We start from the raw sequence: 22035 nt of genomic DNA on the forward strand, positions 1-22035 counted from the left end.
ACAAACCCAGCTGCCTACTTCGTGGTCTGAATTACAGATTTTCCATTTAGCCGGACACCATGAATCTGCTGCTACAATTATGTCTACAATTACAACCCCCTTGAGTGCGTAACTAACCTGCACAGAGTGCATATGGCATTCTAATGCAGTTGTTTACTTTATACTCTGGCCTTTCCTTTGAGTAAAAGTGCATCGGCAGCCCCAGCTCCCTCTCCCCTGGAAGGTGCTGCACGTTGTTACTTGGTAGAGCTGTCAACTAGACAGATGCCGGCAGTACTCTCAGGAGCTGACTTCCTCCTGCTGTTCTGTTCATTGCTGCCTTTCTCTCTTCAAAGGAGATCTCCTTTTCATCAGAGCTTTCCAGTCTAGGAAATAATGAACTCAATTCTCCCCTCTGTTCAGGGAATGCACATTCCCAGGGCAGAGTAGTGGGGAGCTTTTTAAATTTAGTTAAGTATCAGCTGAGTCCAGCACTGCACTGGGCACTAAAACCCCCTCCCCAGCTCTGTGTTCTGGGTAAACAGAAATGTGACAGGTCCAAGGTTTTCTCCCAGAATGCCCCCAGCTGATGTGCTCTGGTCCACATCCTATGTCCAGGATCCAACTCCGATGCTCTTCTTTTTCCTTGCTTTTTATAAAAAACAAAAATGTGATGATATTATACATGGCATTTTCTGACCTGCTTTTAGAAAATGTCAAACATTTTAACTGCAATAGTGATTCACTCTTATTTGGAAAATTTACACATTACCTAAGTATATAAAGTTAAGTCTTCGCAGGAAGAGCTACTATTTCCAGATCTCTTTCAATGCATATACAAACACAAGCATATACATAAAAATATGCACCTAAAATCGAAATGAGATTTTGATATAAATCTTTTCCTAAATATTACTATTTATTTGTGGCTAGCACATTTGGATAGTCTCAGCATCAACAAATTACATTTATATTATTACAGCCACCTAAATGCATGGATCAGATGCAGGCTTTTTTATTTAATTTATCCCTTATTGTTAGATATTTTGAATACTTCCTGTATTTCATGATTATAAACAACCAGAGGATTAGCATTTTTTTAGCTGCATCTCCTTTCCCTTTTTCCTTTTATTATGAAAAATTCTGAACATCCACAAAATAAAGAGAATAGTGTAATGAATCCTCACAGCTCCATTATCTAGCTTCAAAGTCATCAACATTTTGTCAATCTTGTTTCATCTAAGTCCCTTCCCCAGCACACACACACACACACACACACACACACACACACACCTTTTTTTTTCCCCTGGAGTATTTGAAAGGAAATCTGACATAAGACACAGGAAGAGAAGTATAAGAAAAGGCCAGCAGATAAGGCCTACTCCCTTCCTCTCCTTGTCTAACATGACTCCCTCCTAGGGATGCTGTGTGGGGGTGAGTTAAGCCCTCTCTTCCTGCTTTTCCTATGAACTTGGAGTGCCAGGCACATTAAATCTACTTTAAGAGGTGCCAGTAGCAGGAAGTTTAGAATCAGAAAGATGTATGTTGTGCCCTTGGTTTTCTCACTAGCTTCCAAATTTTATCAAGTTACTTAGACATTCCAAGCTTGAGTTGGAATCGTCATCACCAGCTCATGGCTGCACTGAGGAGTGCGTGAGTTCTTGCAGTGGTCACAGCTCTAAGCAGCTCGAGCAGAGGCGTTTTGCACCTGAGCTCAGCAGCCAAGGCCTTGACCCTGAGGAAACTGGCTTGGCTCACAGCAGCACTGCACGTGTGTCCTGATTTGTCACCAAACCACAAAATACATGCCCTATTGCATGTCTCTGTAGCCAAACCATACCAGACAGCATGAATTATGGCATCATGAATCCAAGCAAACATGAAGAAATTAACTATGAATGAATCCAAAGGCAGATTGTCTAACCAAGCTACTGTTGGTTAAATTGAGTCACCCATGACCAATATCCTTGCATTTCCTTGGAGCGCTGGATTAGGAAGCCCCACGGGGTTCTCACTCCTGCTGTGGATCCTGTGACTCTAGGCAAGTCAGTTACATCTCTGGGTCACTGTCCTCATCTGTAGAATGAAGACAGTATATTCCACCATCGCCAGGGGCATTCCAAAGAGGGGTGCACCTTTAGACCTTGAAAACACCTGACGTCTGAGTCAGCCTGAACTCAATCATGCAATTGAATGTGCACATGTGCCTGCATTTTTGGCTGTGTGGTTGAAAGAGCCCAGACTTTGCAGCCAGCAGACCCGCCTCCAGGACTCAGCTGTATTATCCACTAGCTCTGTGACTCAGGGAAAGTCGTGCCCTCCCTAAGTTTCTACTTCCTCAGCTAGAATGTAGACATTCATTTGCTCATTCATGCTTCTAATTTTATTCAGCGCCTACTATGTACTGTACCATTCTAGTGCCCACAGTCTAGTGAGGATGTGATTGGAGGTGGAGGAGAAGTAAACAAAAATAAATTGTAAAATGAGCAGTAAGTTAGATGGAGATTGATGCTAAGGCAAAAATAAAGTAGGTGGGGGAGTTGGGGAGCATCAAAGGAGCTGTGGGGGAGGGGCAGTGTTGCAGTACTAGAGAGACATCCAGGTAAACCTCACTGAACAGGTGACGTCTGAGTAAAATCCTGAAATGAGATGAGGGAGCCAGCCAAGAAGATACCAAAGGAAAAGTGTACTAGGCTGAGGGAACAGAAGGTGCAAGGATCCTGAGGCAGGAGCATGCCCAGAATGTCCGAGGACCCACAGGGTGGCCACTGTGCCAGGGACAGAGGAAGGGAGGGCACTGGCCATGCGGGTTCTTGAAGCCCACTGTCAGGACACTGGCTGTTATTCATCCTATGTCTGGAAGCCTTTGCAGGGTTTTGAGCGGAAGTGTGATGTGCTCTACCCCAGCATTTTTCAAAGCATGATCGGGTGACTCCTGGAGCCCCCGACACTTTTTCAGAGATCCCCATGAGGTCAAAATTATTTTCATAGTAATATAAGACATGATTTTCCCTTTTTGTTCTCATTCTCTCTTAATTACACAGTTGAGTTTTCTAGAGGCTACACGACATATATTGCAACAGATTCAAAGTAGAAAATGGAGAATTCATCTATTAATCCAGACATTAAAGAAACTTACAAAATGTGCTCTCCAAAAATATATACTGCTACTTTTCTCAGTTTTTTTTTTTGTTTTGGAAAATAGTGTTTTTTTGTTTTTTTTTGTTTTTTTTTTTCTTTTTGAGACAGAGTCTCGCTCTGTCGCCCAGGCTGGAGTGCAGTGGCACGATCTTGGCTCACTGTAAGCTCCGCCTCCTGGGTTCAAGCGATTCTCCTGCCTCAGCCTCCTGAGAGGCTGGGATTACAGGTGCCTGCCATCATGCCTGGCTAATTTTTTGTATTTGTAGTAGAGACGGGTTTTCACCGTGTTAGCCAGGATGGTCTCGAATTCCTGACCTTGTGATCCACCCGCCTTGGCCTGCCAAAGTGCTGGGATTACAAGCGTGAGCCACCACTCCCAGCTGAGTTATTTTTTATAAATTTGTTTTACTTATGTTAACATGCAATAGGTTTATTATTATTATTTAAAATGAATTATTTTTTAAACTTCAGCTTTAATTTCTTACACTTGATCTTAGCCAAAAGGCCAAGAAGCGATTAGCTTTAATTTCTAATACAGCAATATCAATAAATATAATCCACATAGGCAAGAGCTTTTAGGGGTCTCCAGTCGCTCACTTCTAAGGGAAGAAAGTATTCTGAGACCAAATGTGTGAGGACCACAGGTCTAATGCGAGTTTGAACCTCCATTCAAACCCACCTCTTGCATTGAGATGAGAGGGGGCAATGTCAATGGCGGGATGGTGGGCTCACCAGGATGGTGGCAGTGCAGAAAGTGAGAAGTGTTCAGATTTTGGATAAATTTTGAAGGTAAAACTGATAGAAATTGCCAATGGATCTCATGTATTAATAGATTACGGGAGAGAGTCAAGAATTGCTCATTGGTGTTTGGCTTGATCAATCAGCAGGATAGAATTGCAATTCACTCAGGTGACAAAGTAGAGAGGCGGGTTTGAAGTGGTGGGGTAGGTGGGTGGGGGAGAGCAGGAGCTCTGCTTGAGACATTTTCTTTTCTTTTTTCTCTCTCTCTCTCTTTTTTTTTTTTTTTTTTTTTTTTGGAGACGAGTCTCGCTCAGTCACCCAGGCTGGAGTGCAGTGGCAGGATCTCGGCTCACTGCAAGCCCCGCCTCCTGGGTTCACGCCATTCCCCTGCCTCAGCCTCCCCGAGTAGCTGGGACTACAGGCGCCCGCCGCCACACCTGGCTAATTTTTTTGTATTTTTAGTAGAGACGGGTGTTTCACCGTGTTAGTCAGGATGGTCTCGATCTCCTGACCTTGTGATCCGGCCGTCTCGGCCTCCAGAAGTGTTGGGATTACAGGCGTAAGCCACCGCACCCGGCGAAGCATTTTCATTTCAGATGTCTGTAGGCATCCAGATGGAGATTCCAAGCAGGTAGATGTGTACTGAAGTCTGAAGTCCAGGCTGGAGACATAAATTTGGGGTGTTACCAGTAAGTAGGAGCATTTGAAGTCAAAAAACTAGCTGAGCTCTCCAAGAGACAGCAAGAGCACATCCAAAGACTCTGCCATATGCAGAGGTGGGAGAAAAAGGGAAATGGCCGGGAGACCGAGGCAGAATGGGAGGAAGAGAAGAGACTGTGGGATTCTGGATTCCAAGTGGAGAGAGAGTGTCAGGAAGAAGGGAGTGATGTTTGAGACTGGGCAGTGGGTGCTGACTCTGGGGCTTAGCAACTGCAGATTCCTGGTGCCTTTGCTCACAAAGCTGACCAGGCAAGTTGATGAAAGAACAGAGAAGGCAATACTAAGCAACCCTGCTGAGGGGTTTCTCCCTCCCTGAGGAGGGAGAGAAAGCAAGTGGTAGTGGAGGAAAGACAAAGTCCATAGAGGGTTTTTTCCCCCTTTGATATGGAAGAAAATAAATTTTGTTTACTCTTCTGATGTGGAAAAAACAATAAAAAGACTGACAAGACAGGAAAGAGTGAATTTACTTCCAGGAGAATTAATTGCATGAAAGAATTCTTTTTTTTTTTTTTTTTTTTTTTTTGAGATGGAGTCTCGCTCTGTCACCCAGGTTGGAGTGCAGTGGCACGATCTCGGCTCACTGCAAGCTCCGCCTCCCAGGTTCAAGTGATTCTCCTGCCTCAGTCTCCTAAGTAGCTGGGCACTCACCACCACACCTGGCTAATTTTTGTATTTTTGGTAGAGACGACGTTTCACCATGTTGGCCAGGCTGGTCTTGAACTCCTGATCTCAAGTGATCCACCCGCCTCGGCCTCCCAAAGTGCTGGGATTACAGGCGTTAACCACCACCACGCCCATCCATTTGCATGAAGGAATTCTTAAGGACGAGAAGAGATGGGTCTGATGAGGATGGGTCTAGTCTTGCTGGGAACCTGGGCAGTTCCTCCAGATACCAGGAGAGAGACAAGGAACACAGGCACAGGCAGATGGAGCTTGTGTGAGCTCTGTTCTCACCGCTTCTATTTTCCCAGTGAAATTGGAAGCAAGCTCATCACTGTGAGGAAGGATAGGGTAGGAGGTGTGGAGGGTTAAAGAAAGATAGTTATCTTGGTAATTATAAGACCATATGAGGTAGGCTCTTCAGTGCTGGATAAATGCTCGATGCTGTTTATTCTTAAATATAGGTGTGGGAAGGCAGTGCTATTTTTCACTGTCTTACTGTGTCCCCAGTATAAAGGGAATGATTGTTCTCTATAGGTCAAATACATACATTTAGTAACATTCGGCTTCATATTGACACACCTTCCCAGATTTCTCATTGTAATCCACAGGTCTGTAGAGATGTGGAAGAGATGCTGCTTTATAATATGTATTTCAATGTAGTTTTGATGACTGATGATGAGAAATGGATTTTTTAAGTTCCATACCTATGACCTGTATTTATCCATCCAAAAGCCCGGTGGAATGAGATCCATGAAGGGCCCCTGTGCAGTATCATATGGCTTATGGAGCCCTGCCTGGAAACTGCTGCTTTGTATGTATCCCCAGAGCAGTGGTACCTGCAGACAGAGGAGTGCCAAGAGAGGAGGGCAGGAGGATATTAAGCCATGTGTTCTCTTTCCAGGCAATTTCTCCACTGGGCCCCAGGGCCTTCCTCCACCCAGGCAGCTAGCAATGATTCATCACTGTCTTAGGGGGAAGTTATCCTCGCAGAACCAGAGAACAAAGACAGTAGATTCTTGGCTTTTAAGCTCAAGATCCTTTCCTTTCCCCCTCCCTCCTCCAAGCTTGCAAAGAGGGAAGGTAAGGAGGCGAAGATGAAACAAGAGAAGTAGACACTGGCTGCCTCCCCTCTAGCTATATGGGAGGTGGTGACAAGAAGCCCAGCTCCCTCCTGACTGATGTCACAACACTGTGCAAATGGCCCAGGACTCAAGGAGAAACCCTGAAATGAATTGGTCAAATCCAATCCTGAAGATGACCAAGTCTATCCATTATATGGATTGTATTTCTGCCATCAGGAAGCTTAAAGTAGAGATTCATTGGGCTGCAGAAAAATCAAGAAATTGATATTTCTGCGGGCCTGCGTGGCTTCTTAGTTCCACTTGCAAAAGGGAAAGATTCATTGAAGAAATAACATATTAAGTCGCTACACCTTCGTATTAATGAGCTTATCACAGTGGTTCTCAAATGGGAGATTTTGCTCCCAGGGACAACGGGCAATGTCCGGAGACATTTTTTATTGTCGCAGCTGTGGAAGGAGGGTTGCTACTGGCACCTGGTGGGTGGAGGCCAGGGAGGTTGCTGAACATCTTATGATGTTCAAATAAAAGAAAAAGAATGTTTCAGCCCCAAGTGTCCATAGTTCCTAAGTTGAGAAATCCTCGATTTCTGTCCCGAATCAAAAGATAGGTTCAGCATAAAAGGATCAAGTTCCTCAAGGAGCAAGGAGGAAGAATATAAAATGAACTGAAAGAGAAAATCATTTCTAACCTATTCTACATTTTGGAATACCAGTAGTTCCAGCAGAGTAACTTATTACTTCTAACAAGAGAAAAAAGGAACTTCACAGCTATTGCATTTCCTAGAGTCTGCAAAACAAGTACTCAAAACAGTAGCAGTCACACAGTGTAATAAAAACACTCAGGTTTTAACTCATCACCACCTGGAAGGCACAACAAACACCTCCTACGCAGGTTTGGTGAGAGTCTTAGCTTTTCTCCTGCCGGGTTCTCATGACACTGTTACTTTGTTTTCTCCACCTCCAGCTGAACCTTCCCTCTGGGTCTCCTGACCTCCTCTTCTTCTGCTGTTTCCATGTTTGTTTCCGTTCCTATCATTTGCTTCACTCTCCAGCCTGCCATGACAACTCAGAACTGAGCCCCTTGGCCTTGGCCACCTCTTTTTGGCCGGTAGGCCCCCAGTCCTTGTCTCTGAATCCTTGCCCCAGGGCAAGGCCGGAATTTTCAGCTGTTTCCTGACCACATGACACTCTCTGCACAGTCTCATCACCTATCCAAGGAGGATAGCAGTACCATTTCATAAGGTGACAGCGAAGAGTGAAGGAGTCAGTACTGTGCTTGGCACAGAGTAAGCACTCACATGATGGCCATTTGTATTATTGTCACCTTTTTCCATCAGAAGCCCAAACAGGACCTCAAAATTAATATAGCCACAACCAGACTGTTTTTCCTCCAAAATCTGTTTCTTTTTCACTGCTGCTCCCTTGCGCTTAGCCAACTCAGTGTCACCTTTAACTAGAGTTAAAGAGAGCATTATTAATCATAAGACCAGAGCAACAGGCACAAGCCGGGGCAACTCCTGGCAACCTGGAGAGACGTGTGGTCCTGCTGCTTTAACCCTTTTCTCTCTCATCGCTAATGGAACCATAGTCCAACCACCATCCTGTCTCATTTGGATGAGTGCAGTATTCTCTCCACAGAGCCCCTTCTCTCTGCCTTCCCCCCTCTTCTATTCCTACATGTCTTTTCCTGCTGCAAAACACCCTGTCTCCTAATGACTTAGGAATAGGGCATGCATTATTTGTTCTAGAGTTCAAAGCTTTCTTTTTTTTTTTTTTTTTTTTTGAGACGGAGTCTCGCTCTGTCACCCAGGCTAGAGTGCAGTGGCACAATCTCGGCTCACTGCAAGCTCCGCCTCCCGGGTTCACGACATTCTCCTGCCTCAGCCTCCCAAGTAGCTGGGACTACAGGCGCCCACCACCACGACCGGCTAATTTTTATATTTTTAGTAGAGACGGGGTTTCACTGTGTTAGCCAGGATGGTCTCCATCTCCTGACCTCTTGATCTGCCCACCTCGGCCTCCCAAAGTGCTGGGATTACAGGCGTGAGCCACCATGTCCGGCCGAGTTCAAGGCTTTCTAAGATCTCAGCCAGCATTTTTAACCTCGTTGCTCAGGACCAGGCCCTTCTTTTTTGTTTGTTTGTTTGTTTTTGAGATGGAGTTTCCCTCTTGTCACCCAGGCTGGAGTGCAATGGTGTAATCTCGGCTCACTGCAACCTCTGCCTCCCGGGTTCAAGTGATTCTCCTGCCTCAGCCTCCTGAGTAGCTGGGATTACAGGTACCCACCACCATGCCTGGCTAATTTTTGTATTTTTTAGTAGAGACGGGGTTTCACCATGTTCGTCAGGCTGGTCTCGAACTCCTGACCTCAGGTGATCCACTCACCTCAGCCTCCCAAAGTGCTGGGATTACAGGCATGAGCCACCGTGCCCGGCCAGGACCAGGCCCTTCTAATGGCACCATCCACTGCCATGGGTATCCCCTGGACTTCCTTTTCTCCCACCACGCCTCTCCTCTGGAATGACCCCCTCCCCTTCCTCCACACCCCACCCTTACCTTCATAGATCCACATCCTACCTTCCCTCAGAGCTCATCCCTCACGCCCCCTTCTCCACAAAGCCATCCCTACCACGAGGATTTAGGGTGTCAGGGTGGCCTGATCCCTGGCTACAAGTAACTTCCTCTCCTTTGAGCTCTTATGGTTTTTTTTTGTTTGTTTGTTTGTTTGTTTGTTTGTTTGTTTTTGAGACAGAATCTTGCTCTGTCACCCAGCCTGGAGTGCAGTGGTGCGATCTCGGCTCACTGCAAGCTCCACCTCCTGGGTTCATGCCATTCTCCCACCTCAGCCTCCCGAGTAGCTGGGACTACAGTTGCCCGCCACCATGCCCGGCTAATTTTGTTTCTGTATTTTTAGTAGAGACGGGTTTCACCATGTTAGCCAGGATGGTCTCGATCTCCTGACCTCGTGATCCACCCATTTCGGCCTCCCAAAGTGCTGGGATTACAGGCGTGAGCCACCGCGCCTGGCCACTCTTATGGTATTTAATTTGTATCTCTTTTGTGGCACTTACCCCCTCTAACCTTGAATGAGAGTGACTTGGATTGGTGCTTTTATCTCCACATAATACACTGTACATTCCTCCAGAAGGAACCTATTAATTCAATTTATCCAAGGGACCTTAGCACATGGTAGAGGCCCAGCAGACATTTGTTGACTCTATGATGCTTCCACAGGCTTTTCTGAATATTTTTTATTGGCTGAATTTAAATGTATATTGACTGAGTCATCCTATCCTGGTTTTGTCATCAGATAGTCTCAGCCTACACACAGCACCAGAGACTAGTTAAAACTCTCATTTTTCCCTTTTTTTCTTGGGGGAGATGGGGACATGGTGTGAGGGATACTTAGCGAGAGCTGGAAAGAGAGTGTCAAGCTCACTAATATTCATACTAGGTAAATTGTCACAAGGCGGTGACATCTCAGTGTCCAGATGCGCAAACTGAGGCCTGGGAAATAGAATTTCATTTGACACCACTGTCCTGACCAATGCCAGGGAGAATTAGAGTGGGGGCTGTCCTGAAAGATCGTGTCCTGCACCCCTCTCATTTTACCTCCAGAGAAAATCATGAATCAGAGCAGAGAGAGGTGACTCCCCCAGGTCACAGAGAGGGTGTGGCAGGGGGAACCCCTTCCTTCTGGCCTGCAAGGTTGGTGTCTTAAAAGACTTGTATTCATGTCAAAGAAATACATCTCTGATTTGAATCTGCATGAAGCAGAAAGCAAACATTTAGAAACTGTGTAATCTCAGTAAATGCATAACCACTTCCCATGTGGGTAAAATGTGTGTCGTGGAGAATGCTACAGTCCCTACCAGAAGCCAGGGACAGCCTGGGACTGGAAGGGCCGGAGGGCAGAGCAGGGCTGCCTGGGCTCCTGTGAAGGTGGATAAAGCTCAGGATGGTGACCTGACTATGCTGGCCATTTCCTGTGTGGTCACAGGCCTGGTGACACACTGCAATCCCCCACCGTAATCCCCCGCATGGCCCTTGAGTCTGAGGGAGTCCAGGCTGGAGAGGAGCTGGAGAAGCGGGGGGAGTGGCATTCTGGGTTTTCATGTGGTGCCACTGCAGGGTTGATGGCAGGGGCTCCCTGGTGCTTTTTCCTGATTCTCTCTCAGTCTCGCCAGGTCCCCTCCATGTCTCAAGTGCCTAGCTTCGTCCTGGGCAGGGGAGCAAGCGGGGGAGACCCCACTTGGTGAGAAGAGGGGAGAAAGGGTGATTTTGGTTCCTATGTTTATTTTTTCTCATATCAAACCCCAAACACTTTCTTTCTGATTTGCCCAACAGCCTCCTGGGAGGGCTTTAAGGGAAGACTGTCTGGGAACTGCTTACCACATGCCAGGTGCAGAGCGGGGCGTGAGGCCGGGATCCTCTCATCCTCACACACCTTCCAAACTCAGGCAGCTGCAGGGCAGGGAGCTGGGATTAGAACCCAGGGAGGTACCTGTGATAACCATTATGCCACATGTGGTACAAAGGTAGAGGAGAGGGCGGAGGGGCAGGGACCACACATACACCCAGGCCCCCACAGGAGCAGAGCGTAGCTGGGTAACGTGGCCGCATAGTTCCCGCTGAGGTGCACTGAGGCACGGCACGCTTCTTCCGGAAGCCTCTTCCCTTTCCTCACAATATGTCACCTGTCTGCACACAGATGAAGACAAGAGATGCCAGCAAGATGTAAAACTGTAACACCCCCGACATCATTTCTCTCCCCTCTCTTCTTTCAATAACATCTCGTTCTGACCCATGCCAGGTGACCATTGTTCTCCTGCGTTGTAAAGTCTCTGGTGTCACACAATTTGCAATTGGAAAAATGTGGAATCAACCCAAATGCCCATCAATTAACAAGTGGATAAAGAAACTGTGATATATATATGTATATATATACACACACACACATACACATGTATAAACACACATAATATATACACACACATACACATATATACACACACATACACACACACACACACGGAATACTACTCAGCCATCAAAAGGAGTGAATTAATGGCATTTACAGCAACCTGGATGGGACTGGAGACCACTGTTCCAAGTGAAGTAACTCAGGAATGGAAAACCAAACACTGCATGTTCTCACTCATAATTGGGAGCTAAGCTATGAGGATGCAAAGGCATAAGAATGACACAGTGGACTTTGGGGACTTAGGGGGAAAGGGTGGGGGGGCGAGGGATAAAAGAAGACAAATTGGGTTCAGTGTTTACTGCTCGAGTGATGGGCGCACCACAGTCTCACAAATCACCACTAAAGAACCTACTCATGTAACCAAACACCACAAACACCACCTGTTCCCCAAAAACCTATGGAAATAAAAAAATTTTAAAAAAGAGAAAAGTCTCTAGTGTCACAGCTCTTAAGATCTCATATCATTTTATGCTGTTTGCCTGAACTATACTCACATTTTGTGTACCCTTTCCTGGGTATTGGCGTATTTGAGCTTTCTTACTGTCCTAGCAGGATGAGTGGTGTGGCTACCCTGAAATGAGTTTTAGGCAGCATCCAGGCCTTAGGAGAGATATTTGAGAGACCACGGAGCCTTCTAGTTGTCCCTAAAATTATTCTTTTCCCAAGGATTGCCCTGAAGGTAAACCTGCTTTCCTTGTTGCCTCATGCCTGAGGCCAGGGCTGGGGCCTGAGGAATGTGGCCACCTCCCTGCACCCTTAAAGCTGAGCAGCCACAGATTCCTCAGCAGAGGGGAAACCCCAGGGCAAAGGCCAGGCGTCTGCACTTTCACCTCTACGTTGCTTTTGTCTATTATTATTGCACATTAGTAGCAATAATAGTAATAGACCAATGACTTCATTTATTAAGAAACTGCTATATGTCAGGCACTATGCTAAGTCCTTTATATACTTTATCTTTAAAGCTGTCATGGTTGAGTGTTTGAATCTGGGTTCCAGGTCACCACACTATTTAACTTTGAAGGTTTGCTATGAGGGGAAGTGAAAAAAAAACTATGTAAATATTTGGCACAGGGACTAGTATATTAGAAGTATTCTAGAAATGTTAGCCATTAATTAACCTTTAAGGATAGGTATCATTATATCCACTTTACAGATTTGGAAAACAAGGCTCAGAGAAGTCAAATAAAGTATTCAAGATTCTATTGTTAGAAAGTGGTGACGTTAGGAGCTGAACCCAGATCTTTCTGATTTTCTCCACTACTGATCTTCTGCATTGCTATTTGAGTGATTTCAAAAGCACCAGGGACATTAAATTGAGTGGCTTACTTGGTTTTTGGAAATATAACACTCCTGATTCAGTATGTTAGGTTTGCCTCCATTCATTTAACTAAACAGATCCGTGTACAATCTCAAGTGAGTGATTTCTATTCTGTTATGACAAGGCAATATGGTAGCTGTTTTGCAATAAGCAACTTTTATTTTTGGAATACAAGTTTTACTTTTTAAAATCATGAGATCATATTTCAAAGACCACTTACACACAAAAGTGGAGTCATGGACCTTTTCACTCCCAAATCAAGGCTCCTGCATATGGTAGGAGTTCAAGGAATGAGAGGTGATGGATGGATTTGTGGGTAGTTGTCCCATATGGTTTTCAATGTCCCATGTGATGTCCAGTCTTTTGGCTTCATTAGGCCACACTGGGAGAGGAATTGTCCCGGGCCACATATAAAATACATAAACACTAACAATAGCTGATGAACTAAAAAAAAAAAAATCTCATAATGTTTTAAAATTTACAAATTTGTGTTGGGCCGCGTTCAAAGTCGTCCTGGGCTCCATGTGGCCTGCAGGCTGTGGGTTAGACAAGCTTGGTCTATATGTTTATGCACAATAATCTATAAATTGTTGAGGCCGGGCACGGTGGCTCATGCCTGTAATCCCAGCGCTTTGGGAGGCTGCGACGGGTGGATCACAAGGTCAGGAGATGGAGACCATCCTGGCTAACATGGTGAAACCCCGTCTCTACCAAAAATACAAAAAAGAAATTAGCTGGGCATGGTGGCGGGCGCCTGTAGTCCCAGATACTCGGGAGGCTGAGGCAGGAGAATGGTGTGAACCTGGGAGGTGGAGCTTGCAGTGAGCCAAGATTGTGCCACTGCACTCCAGCCTGGGCGACAGAGCGAGACTCAAACAAACAAACAAATCTATAAATTGTCAAGACAAGCCTACCTTAAATCCCATCCAAGGGGCTATAAAAGTGATTACAGCTCCTACATCCTGAAATGTCTTGTGCAAACTTGCTGGAAGGCATTCTCATTACCCCAAACCAAGGACAAAGTAAAGTCAGCCCCCAGCAAGTGTCTATTCCACTTCAGGTGAAAGCAACAGCTGTACTCTCTCCATTTTTATTAGTAAAGTGCTGGAAATGGCTAACTACTTCTGTTCTAACTCGTTTATCAACATCCCACAATCCCAAATAATGACTCTTAGGTTTCTTTTCTGTTGTTTTCTCACCAAAAAGCCCAAAGTGAAGGTCCTAGGTCTGGGGCACTCTTGTTATCTGAGCCAGGAAATTAATTCACTGTGATTTACTCTAATGCACCCAAATGTGCAACTGTGGCTGGTGATTGTAGAATAATGTGACTTTTCACAGTTAACTCGTGACCCTCTCAGTAGGCACATGTTCAAAATGAGTATAAGTGCAGCTATGTTATTTACAGCTTACATGGCTTTGATAACACTTTGTTCATCTTATTCTGTAGATCGCATTTAACTCTGCAACGCGTAGTAGCACCTCCAGAGGAAAATGCGAGGGATCTTAAATCTCCTTTTCTAACACAGTTGCAAAGGCATATTAGAGCTCATGTTATCTCCCCTAGAACATATTCAGCTCAAGATAGTATTTTGCAAGGTTTGAGCTGAAAGATTTCTGGAATGATCCAAAGCAGTGCTTTGAGAAATATCTGTGGGAAAGACGAATTGTTTTTGTTTTGCTTTGCTTTTTTACAATCTATAATCCATTGCCCATTGAAACTTAAACATGATAAAAATGAGTTATGAGAGAAATTTAATGAAAAAGGGCATAAAAATATAAGCCCCAAATTTTAAATATTAGATACAGCAGACATCATAAAATTACTCTGTCAAGTTGCCATCAGAGTTTCTAAATGCTTACTGTCAATTTCTGGACTCATTCCCTCAAAGACCAGAAATAAATTACAGATAGACACCTTCCTCAGATCACAGTTTAAGTATACTGTTATAGGTTGAGCTTCCCTAATCTGAAAATCCAAAATTCAAAATGCTCCAAAATCTGGAACTTTCTGAATGCCCACACCTCACCTCATGTACACAAACTTTGCTTCATGCACAAAATTATTGAAAATATTCTACACAGGGCCGGGCGCGTTGGCTCACGCCTGTAATCCCAGCGCTTTGGGAGGCTGAGGCAGGAGGATCACGAGGTCAGCAGATGGAGACCATCCTGGCTAACACGGTGAAACCCCTCTCTACTAAAAATACAAAAAAAAATTAGCCAGGCGTGGTGTCGGGCACCTGTAGTTCCAGCTACTTGGGAGGCTGAAGCAGGAGAATGGCATGAACCCGGGAGGCGGAGCTTGCAGTGAGCCAAGATTGCGCCCCTGCACTCCTGCCTGGGCGACAGAGCGAGACTGTGTCTCAAAAAAAAAAAAAAAAGGTAATATTGTACACAATGGAAATGCAAAACTTTTTTTTAATATTCTGTATAATTATCTTCAGGCTATGTGTATAAGGTGTAGATGAACAATAAGTGAATTTCATGTTTAGGGTTGGATCTCTTCCCCAAGATATCTCATTATGTATATGCAAAGATTCCAAAATCCCCCAAAAAATCAAAAATCCAAAATTACTCTAGTCCCAAGCATTTTGAGTAAGAGATATTCAACCTGTATGTGTTGAGAACAGACAAGGACAGACTATAAGGATCACCCAGCTCTGATATGCAATAGTTCTGTGTCTATCTTAAGACCTGGTCAGGGCCAGGCACAGTGGCTCATGCCTGTAATCCCAGCACTTTGGGAGGCTGAGGCGGGTGGATCACCTGAGGTTGGGAGTTCGAGACCAGCCTGACCAACATGGAGAAACCCCGTCTCTACTAAATATACAAAAATTAGCCGGGTGTGGTGGTGCATGCCTGTAATCCCAGCTACTTGGGAGGCTGAGGCAAGAGAATTGCTTGAACCTGGGAGGCGGAGGTTGTGGTGAGCTGAGATCTGGCCATTGCACTCCAGTCTGGGCGACAAGAGCGAAACTCCATCTCAAAAAAAAAGAAAAAAAAAACCTGGTCAGAGCATGATTTTTATGAATTGAATGTTTGTGTCCCCACAAAATGTATATGTTGAAGCCTTAACCCCTAGTGTGATAATATTTGGAGATGGGGTCTTTGGGAGATGTACAGGCTTAGATGAGGTCATAGGTGGGTGGGAAATGATAGGACTATTGACCTTATAATAAGAGAAAGAGAGACCAGAGCTCTCTCTCTCTCTCTCTGCCTTGTGAGGATATAGCAAGAAGGAGACCATCTGTAATCCAGGAAGAGAGCCCTCACTAGGAACCAAATCTGCTGACACCTTGATACTGAACTTTCCAGCCTTCAGAACTATGAGCAATAAATGTCTGTCATGTAAGCCAGGCATTTTGTTGTTATGGCAGCCCAAGCTGACTAATACAATGGTGTAACACTGCCTCATGTTGAACAGAGCTGCCAAGGCCGAGAGTTCCTTTTGTGGGCTGAACATCCTTCGACCCTTAAATTATGACCCCAATTGTATCAGTATCTGGTTCAAGAGCACAGCTGACTGTATCTACTCTGTTGATGAGCACACAAATCACAGCTTTCCTATCTGGTCCCTGAAGAATGGATGCCTTGCTGCTCTGATTAATTATGCATCAGTTAATTAATTTGTTGGCTTTAGTGAATTGAATCAATTACTTTAAATGGCTTTTAATTGTTAATATATGCATTATAACAGAAGACAAAAGCTGTTAATAGAATTCAACATGAAAACCTCCCAGGACAGAGGATGGCCTTGTAAAATAAATTATTTAAAGTTTCCCAAAGAGTCCTTGTGACTTCCAAAAAGCCAATAGTATTTAAGGCAATATGGAATTCTGTTTGAGAGTTCTTTTTGGAGTAATTCTAAACAAATACAGATGGATAAGGTGTGAGGATTTATTGAGAGGCGATTGTCACCCACATAATCAGTCTCTAAGCTCCTGCATGTAGATGTCCTGGGAAAGCTAGAAGGCCCCATGAGAGCAGGATTACTGCTGATGGAAGTGTAAACCTCATCTAGAACCCTGATTTATAGGTGAGGAAGCACTAAATGATTGTCAACAACTCTGATGAGTGGCGTAGAGGGTTCTCTGTGTGTTGCTGCTAGATTCTCTTTCATTTCAGGGAGGAAGCCAACTAAGCAGTGGGGTCTGGGAAACAGTGGGCTGGGGCGGGGGCAGGGGGACCCTCCAAGTCTTACTATCTCTTCTCACCCAGTCTGGAAACCCAGAACCCAGAACCCAGTGGCAGAAAATGACATCCACACAGCTCTGCATCTGCATGGGCAGCTCTGGTTGGGGTGGGGGTGACACACATTCCCTCCCACTTCTGCTCTGGGATTTACTCCATGCGCTGTGAGAGGAAGAGGGCAGAGGGCAAATTAGACGCTGGTGTCAGAACAGTGAGCAAATTCCTCCCCTAGGTACCTTAATCAGCAGTCACAGAGAAGATCTTCAATCATGAGCCAAAGTAGCTCCTTGGCTAAACTTGGTAGACGGTAATATTTTTACGCGAAGATCAGACCTAGTCTGTAAGCAAACCTCAGTTTCAAGACTGATTCCTGTGGTGGTTAATTGGTGCAAAAAATAGAAAGAATGAATAAGACCCACTATTTGATAGCACACTTGGATGATGGTAGTCAATAATAATTCAAATGAATATTTTAAAATAACTTAAAGAATGTAATTGAATTGTGTGTAACTCAAAGGATAAATGCTTGAGGGGATCAATACCCTGTTCTTCATGATGTGATTATTTTACATTGCATGCCTGTATCAAAACATCTCATGTACCCCATAAATATATACAACTACTATTTACCCACAAAATTTCTTATAAATAATGAAAAACATTTAAAAAAAAGACTGATTTCTGCTTCTAAAAACCCTGTTGCTGATGTCCAAAAGAGGGTTGTTGGTAATCCAGAGAATAAAATTGGGAGAATATCATTTTTTTTTTTTGAGACAGAGTCTCTCTCTGTTGCCTGGGCTGGAGTGCAGTGGCATGATCTAAGCTCACTGCAACCTCCGCCTCTCAGGTTCAAGTGATTCTCCTGCCTCAGCCTCCAGAGTAGCTTGGACTACAGGTGCCCACCACTATACCCGGCTAATTTTTATATTTTTAATTGAGACGGGGTTTCACCATATTGGCCAGGCTGGTCTCAAACTCCTGACTTTGTGAACCGCCTGCCTTGGCCTTCCAAAGAGCTGGGATTACAGGCGTGAGCCACCGATGGGAGAATATATTTTTAAGCAATTGTTTGACTAACTCATTTACTGTCCAAACATTTGAGAGCCCCCTACACACCAGGCCATGTGTTAGGTGCTGTGTCTGCAACTCTCAACAAGATGAATCTCTGGAAATAGACATTTGGAGCATCATGTAATAAATGCTACAAAAAGACATATACCGGGGGCTATAATAACACATTGGGATGCCACTTAACCTAGGGTAGCAGAATCATGGAGGTTTCATAAAGGAGATGAGTCTGGAAAGACAGGGTAAGAGGAGTTAGCTAAGCAAAAAGTCAGGTCCAAGGGGGAAGGTATCTGACGGATAAATAAACAGATGGCATGTGAAAGCCTAGCACCAACTCCACATAGTTCTTCAGGGCCAGAGTACAGCTAGGATGGAGGTCCAGATTGTGAATCCCACAAGTGATGAGATGCTCTTGAATGGTTTTGAGGAGAAGAATGGCATGATTATATCTAGATTTAGAAAGATTATCACAACAGTAGTGTGGAAAATGGATTAAAGAATGCTGAAGACAGTAAGCAGAGAGACAAGCTAGGACCCTGTTGCAGCAATTCAGGAAAGAAGTAAGGGGAACTGCAAATAACTGGTGAGGCTGGGATGGAGACTTGAGGATGGTCATGATGTGCACACCACAACATGCCATTCAGACACCCATCAGTGAACGACTTGTTGCCCCAGTTACTGAGAATGCCATGAGCAGGCAGTCTTCAGCTGCCAGTCCCATCAGGGATTGCTTGAGTTGCACACAGCTTCTTGCCTGAGGTCACTTCCCATCCCAAAGCCCAATGACAGTGATGTGAGGGCATGAAGGCTTGGTCAACTTGGTCCAATTCAGGGCCACTCTGAAGGACCATCTAACTCCAGTCCTCCCTGTGAAACCCCACAAGGCTGCCATTGTGTCCACATGAGCCCCACTTTTCCCTCTGTCTAATCCTGCCTCAATTCCGTCCCTTACACAGGGTTGATCCTAGAAGCACATCCTAATAAGCCTGCCGCACACTAACTCCATCTGCGTCAGCTTCTTGGGAATTCCAAGCTGCAAGAGTAACCAACTTGATTCATAGGTAAGAAGGAGAAAAATAATCAAGAATAATTCCAAGATTTCTAGCTTAGTTTATTAAGATAGGAAATAAAGGAAGAACAACTTTGGGAGGGGAGTGATGTATCCAGGTCCGAGCACTGTTACTTTTTTGATGACACCACAACTTTTAGGTCTCCTTAGCTGGAAACCCTACAATCATCTTGACCCTTCCTTCCCTTCAAGCCCAACTCGCAATAAGTCCTATCAATTATTTTCTTCATATGGTTGTGGGATTCATCTTTCATTTTATTCCCACTTCTTACTTCTATGTATTCCAAACCTTACCATTTTATGCCTGAATTGCCACAATAGTCTCAGCTTTGGATTGGACCTTCTTGGCCTCTGTCCCTAACTTGTGGTTCTGGTCAGTGTTTTAAAATCATCATTACCTTTATTGTGCCACTACCACCTTAGCATATCTCAACATTTAGTGCTACGTGATAGATATTAGTCAATTTACTGTTCTACACTATTTAATTCGATTCCACTCAAGAAACCACATTTAAGCTACTACTGTCATTTGGGCATGATATGAGAAGCTTGGAGAACCCAATATGAATGAGATATTTTCTGCTTTCCAGAAATTCTCAATTTATAGAGGAGACTAGCACTTAAATAATAGTGAAACAATGTGAAGAGAGCTCAACTGGGACACAGGTGTTTATAGAAAACAGAGAGTAGAATGGAATTATTTCTGTCCCAACTCTTTCTGAGGGCTCTCAACTCTTTCTTGTGCACTGTTTCCTGGCTTCGTGCTGTCTGCCCAATCTAATTCTCACTCTCTGAGTTGGTGTATTTACTATGTGTGTGTGGTGACCAGCCTCCAGTGATTCTTGTTTTCAGATATTTATTTATTTGGGTAATATCTCCTCAGTAATATCTCCTCTCCAATCAGTAGAATATGGTAGAAATAACAAAATGTGGCTGGGCACAGTGGCTCAAGCCTGTCATTCCAGCACTTTGGGAGCCCGAGGCGGGTAGATCACGAGGTCAGGAGATCAAGACCATCCTGGCTAACATGGTGAAACCCCGTCTCTACTAAAAATACAAAAAAATTAGCTGGGAGTGGTGGTTAGCGCCTGTAGTCCCAGCTACTTGGGAGGTTGAGGTGGGAGAATGGCATGAACCCGGGAAGCAGAGCTTGCAGTGAGCAGAGATTGCACCACTGCACTCCAGCCTGGGCGACAGAGCGAGATTCCATCTCAACAAAAAAAAAAAGAAAAGAAAAAGAAAGAAAGATATAACAAAGGTGACATCTGAGGCTAGGTCATAAAAGACATACTTTCTGTGAATAAAGTATATAACATACTGTTTTTCAAGACACCGGACATCAGTCATGAAGGACAGTGTTTGCTTGGAGATAGGAAGCAAATGATGTGAGCCCTTTAACTACTTGAGTTTACTGCCCGATCACAGCTCCCAGGCCATAGCACAGGAAGAGGGATACCAGCAGGAGCAGACTCTGGATTGAGAAGACAGGGTTGAAAGTCCAGGGAGAAGAAGGTGGCTGGACTTTGCAGGCCAGAATATTAGAGGGGAAAGAGAGATACTATGAGAGAGATCCCAGTGATCTGCAGAAAGTTCTTCAGTGTTCAGCTGGGTACCTACCGATCAGTGCATGTCTGTGCAGCATAAAACAAAAGATGGGGAAACATCCTTACTTATCTTAAAGGATAAGAAGGAATAATACCCAATGCTCACAGGGCCAAGAATAGTACCTGTTCCCACGAGCCAGGCACCGATCACTGGGTAAAGCATTCATAACGGTCTTGTCTCAGTAATGGATGAAAATTAGCCCTTCTCTTGTCCTACCTAACAAATCTTAAGTGAAAGATTCAATGGATCAAACTATTTACAAGTAACTTAATTATGTCCCAGAACAAAGTTCAAGAATACTTGTAGCAATTCAAAACCATCCAGTAGCCGAAAAGGCAATATCTCGCATCCAGTAAAAAATTAGCAGAAGAGGCAGGAATGTGACTCATAATAAAGAGAAAAATCATTCAGTTGAAACTGACCCAGAACTAACACAGATGTTAGAATTAACAAACAATGGCATTAAAACATTATTATTATAAATTTATTCCATGTGTTCAAAAAGTTAAGTGAGACCTAGAAGTACAAAATGACCAAATGCAACTTCTGGAGATAAAAACTAAAATGTCCGCAATGAAAATTGAATGGGATTAATGAGAGGTTGGACATTGCAGAAGAAAAGATCAGTGACCCTGAAGACATAGCAATAGAAACTATCCACACTAAAACATAAATAAGGATTTTTAAAACTAAAAATATGGGCAGTGAGCTATGAGACAATTTTGAGCACCTTAACGTGACACTGAAGTCTCCAAAAGAGAGCAGGGAAGAAAAAAATATTGAAAGAAATAATGGCCAACAATTTTCCAAAATTGATGAAGACAATAAACTCAGTGTCACAAGTAGTTCAATGAGCTCCAAGGCATAAAACTACACAAAGGCAAACCAAACTGAAGTTGCTCAAACTAGTGATAAAGAAAATTTAAAAATCAGCCAGAGAAAAAAGACATACATAAGAGGCACATAGTTAAGAATGACAGCTGGTTTCTTGACAAAGGCAATATAAATAAAAAGACAAGAGAAATAGTTTTAAAAGAAAAAAGTCATTCAGAATTCTATACCCAATAAAAATATCTTTCAAAAGTGAAGGCAAAATGTAGATATTTTTAGACACACAAAAGCTATAAGAATTCATTATTCCAGCATAACCATACTATTAAAACATCTTAAAGGAAGTCCTTCAGACAGAAGGAAAATGATGCCAGATGGAAATTTGGATCTATACAAAGAAATCGGCCAGGAGGGGTGGCTCAGGCCTGTAATCCCAGCACTTAGGGACGCCGAGACGGGCGGATCACGAGGTCACAAGATCAAGACCATCCTGGCTAACACAGTGAAACCCCGTCTCTACTAAAAATACAAATAATTAGCCAATTGTGGTGGTGGGCACCTGTGGTCCCAGCTACTCGGGAGGCTGAGGTGGGAGAATGATGTGAACCCGGGAGGCGGAGCTTGCAGTGAGCCAAGATCAGGCC

General features: G+C 44.2%; 1 long non-coding RNA gene across 1 annotated transcript in view; it reads right to left on the bottom strand.

Annotated features, from left to right (window-relative positions):
* Positions 1–4390: 4390 nt before the first annotated feature.
* The window catches only part of LOC105371975 (uncharacterized), a 32330-nt gene continuing 14685 nt past the window's right edge, over positions 4391–22035 (bottom strand). The window contains exon 3 of the long non-coding RNA XR_935123.1: positions 4391–4522. This is a non-coding gene — a long non-coding RNA (uncharacterized LOC105371975). The remainder of the gene's footprint in view (positions 4523–22035) is intronic.

Source organism: Homo sapiens, chromosome 18 (genome assembly GCF_000001405.40).
Source record: "Homo sapiens chromosome 18, GRCh38.p14 Primary Assembly".
Taxonomy (NCBI): domain Eukaryota; kingdom Metazoa; phylum Chordata; class Mammalia; order Primates; family Hominidae; genus Homo; species Homo sapiens.